This window comes from Homo sapiens, chromosome 22 (genome assembly GCF_000001405.40).
Source record: "Homo sapiens chromosome 22, GRCh38.p14 Primary Assembly".
In the NCBI taxonomy this organism is placed as follows: Eukaryota; Metazoa; Chordata; class Mammalia; order Primates; family Hominidae; genus Homo; species Homo sapiens.
In genome coordinates this window covers 48,252,909-48,258,908 of record NC_000022.11, presented here as the reverse complement: position 1 = coordinate 48,258,908, position 6,000 = coordinate 48,252,909, and the positions used below count along the sequence as shown (strand labels likewise).

The 6,000-nt window shown below is 52.2% G+C and overlaps 1 annotated feature.

Annotated features, from left to right (window-relative positions):
• Nucleotides 4,782-5,282: an enhancer, noted in NCBI's record as "H3K4me1 hESC enhancer chr22:48649439-48649939 (GRCh37/hg19 assembly coordinates)". NCBI's record gives its function as "activates a minimal SCP1, AML or CMV promoter by ChIP-STARR-seq in naive H9 embryonic stem cells {active_cell/tissue: H9 hESC(naive)}" and the evidence as "EXISTENCE:reporter gene assay evidence [ECO:0000049][PMID:30033119]".

Genomic DNA, 6,000 nt, shown 5'->3' with positions numbered 1-6,000 from the left:
TGGCTGAGAGAGACGGGAGCCAGCTGGTACATGGAAGATTGCAGGATCTGAAATTCACGGGGTTCCACAAACAGAAATTATCCCTGTTTCTCAAGAAATCATCAATGCCCTACATTAAACTGCTAAGGTAACAGTTGTTTTTCTACTTTCATGCCACAAGGCTAATCTGATGCTTTATTGTTAGGTCATGTAAAAATAAGCCTTTGTTGTACAGTTAAATGCCCTAAAATGGAGCATCTTAAAATGATAATCATGTATTTTGCTCAGAGTTCTGTGGGCTCGCAATTTGAGTTGGGCCCAGCTGGGCAGTGGCTCTCTAATGCATGTGACGGGGGTTAGCCAGCAGCAGGTGGCCCCGCTTGTGCAGCTGTGGGCTTGAGGGATGGGGGTGGCTGACCCCTGTGCTCCTCATCACCTAGCAGGCTAGCTGGGGCTTGCTCTGATGGTAGCGGTTGCAGGCGCTAAAGTGTGCACAGCCTTGTGAGACCTAAGCGCACACTTTTCTGCTCCGTTTATTGAACAAAACATGTCCCAAGACCAACCCAAACTTCAGGGAGGAAGAAGTGGAGAAGAAGTTGCAGCCTTGGGCGTCCCACCCTAAACAGAAAGAGGAAATGAGTTATGCAGAAACAACCCAGAGACGTACTTGAAGAAAAAAACCCAAACTAATTTTTCCCCTTGAAGATGTCTTAGCACACAGGCTACTGAAACACCAAAACCTGCAGCTAAAGGGAGCACCACCTGACATTGAGGCAGGCGTCTGGTGCGGTGCTAATGCCCCATCTCGGCTCTTTCCACCACATCCCTTAACATGACCAGGTTTTATTCATTTCTTGCACTATGGATTCAAACTCCACTTTAACACTAATTTAATCCAATCTCTATATTTAAATCTGAAAGCTCCTGCCAGCTGAATTGCATGTTTTTTACAAAATTAAGCTGAAAACCAGGGAGTGGCGGTGGGGGTGGGGTGGGGAGAAAGTTTCCATGGCGACAGCACACAACATCTCTAATACCAGTCAGATTTGTGCAATGTTGGGTTTGGAATGCGTGGGCGTTAATGGTTCTGGGAGAACCCTTAACTAACGACAGACAACACCCATCTGGGTTACTTAGATGTTTAATATCACAATACATCAAAGGATCCCCACGTACTATAAGAAGAAGAGAGCAGTGCTAAATGCTGTTGGTAATTATTTCCTCCAGGTCAGTTCGAGAGAAGGAACAACAGGCTCTGAAGGCAGTAATTGTACAAGAGTAGTGGCTGTGCCGGGGAGGCCAGGAGAAGGTGGAATGGGCGAGATTCTGCTTCCTTGAGAAACAGCAGAATCAGAGAGAAATGGGGAATGGATGCCCAGCAGGAATGCTGGCTGCCCATTTTCCTCAGAATTTACAACCCCTGTGCCAGACAGGGGCATTCAACAGCGCCTGTCTTGATGGTCATGGGCCAAAACGACCCCTGTTCCAACTGGGAAACACAGGCCCTGCTGCCGCCTGTGAGGGGAACTCTGGAGTGTGAGAAGTTCATGGGTCAGCGTCGGGAATGTGCTTTCCTCTACCGATGCTTTGTCCTGGGTGCGTCTTTTGGATTCCAACAGTGTCTAAGTTATTGAGTCCATTCACTCAAGACATTTTCCCCTGCTGTTCCCAACTGTGCTGATGAGATCAGGAGAGACAGTGATGGATGAGACACAGCCCCGGCCCTCGGCTGTCAGGTCTGGTCCATGAGGGGTTGCTGCTCCCCCGGGTCCAGCTCACCCAGGTTTGGTCCGATGAGGGGTTGCTGCTTCCCCAGGTCCGGCTTCCCCAGGTCTTGTCCAATGAGGGATTGCTGCTCCCCCAGGTCTGGTCCATGAGGGGTTACTGCTTCCCCAGGTCCGGCTTCCCCAGATCTTGTCTAATGAGGGGTTGCTGCTGCCCCAGGTCTGGTCCATGAGGGGTTGCTGCTCCCCCAGGTCTGGTCCGATGAGGGGTTGCTGCTTCCCCAGGTCCAGTTCCCCGAGGTCTGGTCCATGAGGGGTTGCTGCTTCCCCAGGTCCGGCTCCCCGAGGTCTGGTCCGATGAGGGGTTTCTGTGCTCACCGCCAGCTGCTGATGCTCCTTTGCCCACCCCTCCCCTCCCACTGTGGATGCTTTCACTATGTTTGGTCCTAGGGTTGTCCTAAGACCTGCCCTGTAGGAAATGTTCCAGGGATGTTTGCTGAAGGAGCACAGGACTTCTCCACGATTTAGGAGGAATATCATCCTCCCAAGTTGTCAGAAAGGGATGACGCAGCGTGGCCAAGGTCTCCCTGCCTGCTGGGCTTACTTCCGGACTTTCTCTCACACTTTTCAGGTCGTGTTGCCACCTGTCCAGTTTCTAACTGTGAGCAGGGCTTGTCCTGCTGCCGCCTCACAGGAAGACTCTGGAGTTTGGATGAAATCTCTGCCCTTTCTCCCTGCCTGGAATTCTGCAGTGTTCTGGCAGCTTCTTGGATCCCCAGAGAGCCAATTCCTTGTCCCCCTGTGGGAAGTCCACCTGGGAAGGCCACAGACACAGCGGAGAAAGGCGCTGCCCCATCAAGGTGAAGAGGGGGCCGGCAGAGGAGCTGGCTGAGATGAACGACGTGGTGACAAAGCACAGTGTCACTCGGAGCCCCTGGGACCGTTTGTCTCTGGGTTTCCCCAGTCAGCTGCTGTTGGAAAGCAACACGGAGAAAATGAGGAGAGAGCTGGCCTTTGTTTACGCAGGCAATGTGCAGGTAGGGGGGAAACAGCCCTGCACTGGGTTCACCACCCGCACCTGCAAAGACCCTGGCGTCCACCTGCCTTTTGCCTGGAAACATAGTGAAGTTTTGCAGCCCCAGAGAAAGTCAGCAAATCTGTGAAGTTAGAACCACGGCAATATTTCTTTGCACATTTGACTTGTTTGTTTATTTATTTATTTCGAGACAAAGTCTCGCTCTTGTCGTCCAGTGTAGAGTGTGATGGCGCGATCTCAGCTCACTGCAACCTCTGCCTCCCGGGTTCAAGCGATTCTCCTGCCTCAGCCTCCCCAGTAGCTGAGATTACAGGAGCCTGCCACCATGCCTGGCTAATTTTTGTATTTTTAGTAGAGATGGGGTTTCACCATGTTGGCTGGTCTTGAACTCCTGACCTCAGGCGATCCACCCACCTCGGCCTCCTGAAGTGCTGGGATTACAGATGTGAGCCACCGTGCCCGGCCTTGACTTGTTTATTTTAAGATGTTTTGCCTTCAGCAAAATGGCTGGTGTAGCGCCTTGAGGATGCGGTCCTGAGTGTGCGCTGTGTTTCAGAGCCGACAAAGGCCTGCGTGTCTCTAGCTCCTGCTTCTGGACACCATCACTCAGGACGTGTGGCAAGGGGCAGTAGGTGGTCCCCCCAGGAAGGCCACGGATGCCCTGCCATGATGGGATCAACCACGCCTCTTTCCCTTCAGTCTCCATCCGCACATCTGGGAGTGGACAAAGTATCTGCATGGAGAGTTTGACTGTGTGACCTTCTCTAAAACAGGCAACAGCTCTTCCTAAAACCCAGTCATCCTGAGAGAGCAGCGCCCTGTGTGTCCAGACCAGGCTTCTGTCGATGCCGGCAGCAGACGTCTCACTGCATTAGCAGAACTGCATCCCCCCAACAAAGCCAGGAGGCAGGAAATATTTTCCAGATTATTCCAATGAAGAAATTGAGGCTCCAAAAATGAAAATATTTGCTGATCACACAGCTTCTGAGAGGCGGGGCTGATGTTTATTAGTTTTATTTATTATGTGTATTCTTACTGATTTTGTTATGTGTGTGTTTATTTATTGTCTATTTGTTTTCATGCAGATGTATTTGCAAGTAGGTTTTATTTTATTCTAACCAAAGGGAAAATGGACTCACTGGCTGTTCATGAATGCACCCACCCCACCTTGCTCAGAGAGTGGCTTTCCCAGGTCTTCGAGATTTGCAGGGGGCTACCCTGCCCCTCTGGCTGTGCACCAGTGCTTTCTGCCAGCCTCCAACCCAAAAGAGTAAAATCTACAATTCCTCAACTGCAAATCCTAAAACTGTTTTTCACCCCCGTCTCCCAGACTCACTTATAATGCTTAACACACATCCTTATTTATTTAAAGAACAGTAAACACTTTCACCTCTCCCAGAGGTACGAGAGCTATAAATTTCAATAGCTAGTAACACAGTGGGTTTTTACAAGAGGTTACTTCAGGGCAGCGCTCTGAAATCACACAGGCGCTGGCTGAAAGTGTTCCTTGTGCTTCCCGAAGGTAGAGAAGTTGACAAATCGGAGACTGCAATTATGAAATTAAATGCACACCGAGTACCACTTCTCCCCAAAGAAGGTTGAAATGCCAGGTTGGTCAGGTCAGACGCTTAGACAGATGGTCGCACTGGGGTGTCCTGACATGGAGGCAGGATGGCACCAGGCGGAAAGGCCAATCGAGGGGACCCTCCCTTCTCTGGAGTCCTCCTCCTCCCTCCCTCTTCCTTCTTTGTGCATATTCAACAGCAGCCTCCTGCTTGCTGGCACTGTTGAGTGTGAACGCAGCCATGAAGCCACAGGATCCCGTCTGGGGAACTGACATTCTAAGGGAAGGAAACTTCCTCCCTCACTCCTTCTGGCCAGCCTCCCCCAAATAGGGGTGAAACCCTTGAGGCCAGGTCTTTGGAACTGTTTTTACTCGGAACACTCTGACACCAAAGCATGGTGCTTTTTATTCACAGAAACGACCAATTCTTCAACTCTCCAGACACCAGCTGGGTGCCCCACAATTGACACAAATTACCCACAAGTTAATCAGCACAGACCCCACAGGTGAGGGGCTCAGTCCCACAAAACTGTGCCCATCCCAGATGTCAGCCACCAAGTCCCAGGTGGCCCCTGTACTTCTGACTGACAGGCTAGAAATCAGGGCTTCCCATAACCCCTCCTTTCATAATTTGCTAGAACAGCTCACAAAACTCAGCAAAATCCACCACTTATTCTCAACAACTTATTATAAAAGATCCGCCTCAAGAACGGCCACAAGGAAGAGCTGCAGTGTAAGGAGGGAGGGCGAGGATCCTGCACGTGCTTTCTGGGCGAGCCGCCCTCCCAACACCTGGATGGAGTCAGCAGCCCAGCAGCCCCCCAGACCCTTCCACCCTGCAGGCAGGACTGATTATGTCACCTGTCCTTGGTGACTGCTCCACCTCCAGCCCCTCTTCCCTCCCTGGAGTTGGGAAAGGGGCTGAAAGTCCCACCCCCCAATTCTGCCTTTGTCTTCCTGGCCACCAGACCCCAACCTGAAGCTCCCTGGGGCCCTGGCCCCCTTCATCTCCTTGGCCTACAAAGACCCTCATCACTCCAGAGATGTCAAGGGCTTTAGGAGCTGTGTGCCAGGGAGTGGGGACAAAGACCAAATAAATACATATTCCTAAAGATGCCACAAGCCTATATTTGATTCACCCCATATTCCGCTCCCCCCCCCACCCTTGGCATATGTGCACACTGTAGGCCTCCACGAAATACACGTGGAACACGGCAGACACGCACAGGCGCGTTCATGGAGCAAAGCAGCCCGTTGCATTCCTTCACCTGCCCGAGCACACTAAGCGAGTACCTGCCAGGTGCCAGGCACTGTCCCAGGCAAGGAGGACGCGGCTGCTGATGGAGCGGGTCTCTGCTCAGGTGCTGTCCCAGGCAAAGAGGACATGGCTGCTGATGCCCAGGCACTGTCCCAGGCAAGGAGGACATGACTGCTGATGCCCAGGAACTGTCCCAGGCAAGGGGGACATGGCTGCTGATGGAGCGGGTCTCTGCCCAGGCACTGTCCCAGGAAAAGAGGACATGGCTGCTGATGGAGCGGGTCTCTGCTCAGGCACTGTCCCAGGCAAGGAGGACATGGCTGCTGATGGAGCGGGTCTCTGCTCAGGTGCTGTCCCAGGCAAAGAGGACATGGCTGCTGATGCCCAGGCACTGTCCCAGGCAAGGAGGACATGACTGCTGATGCCCAGGCACTGTCCC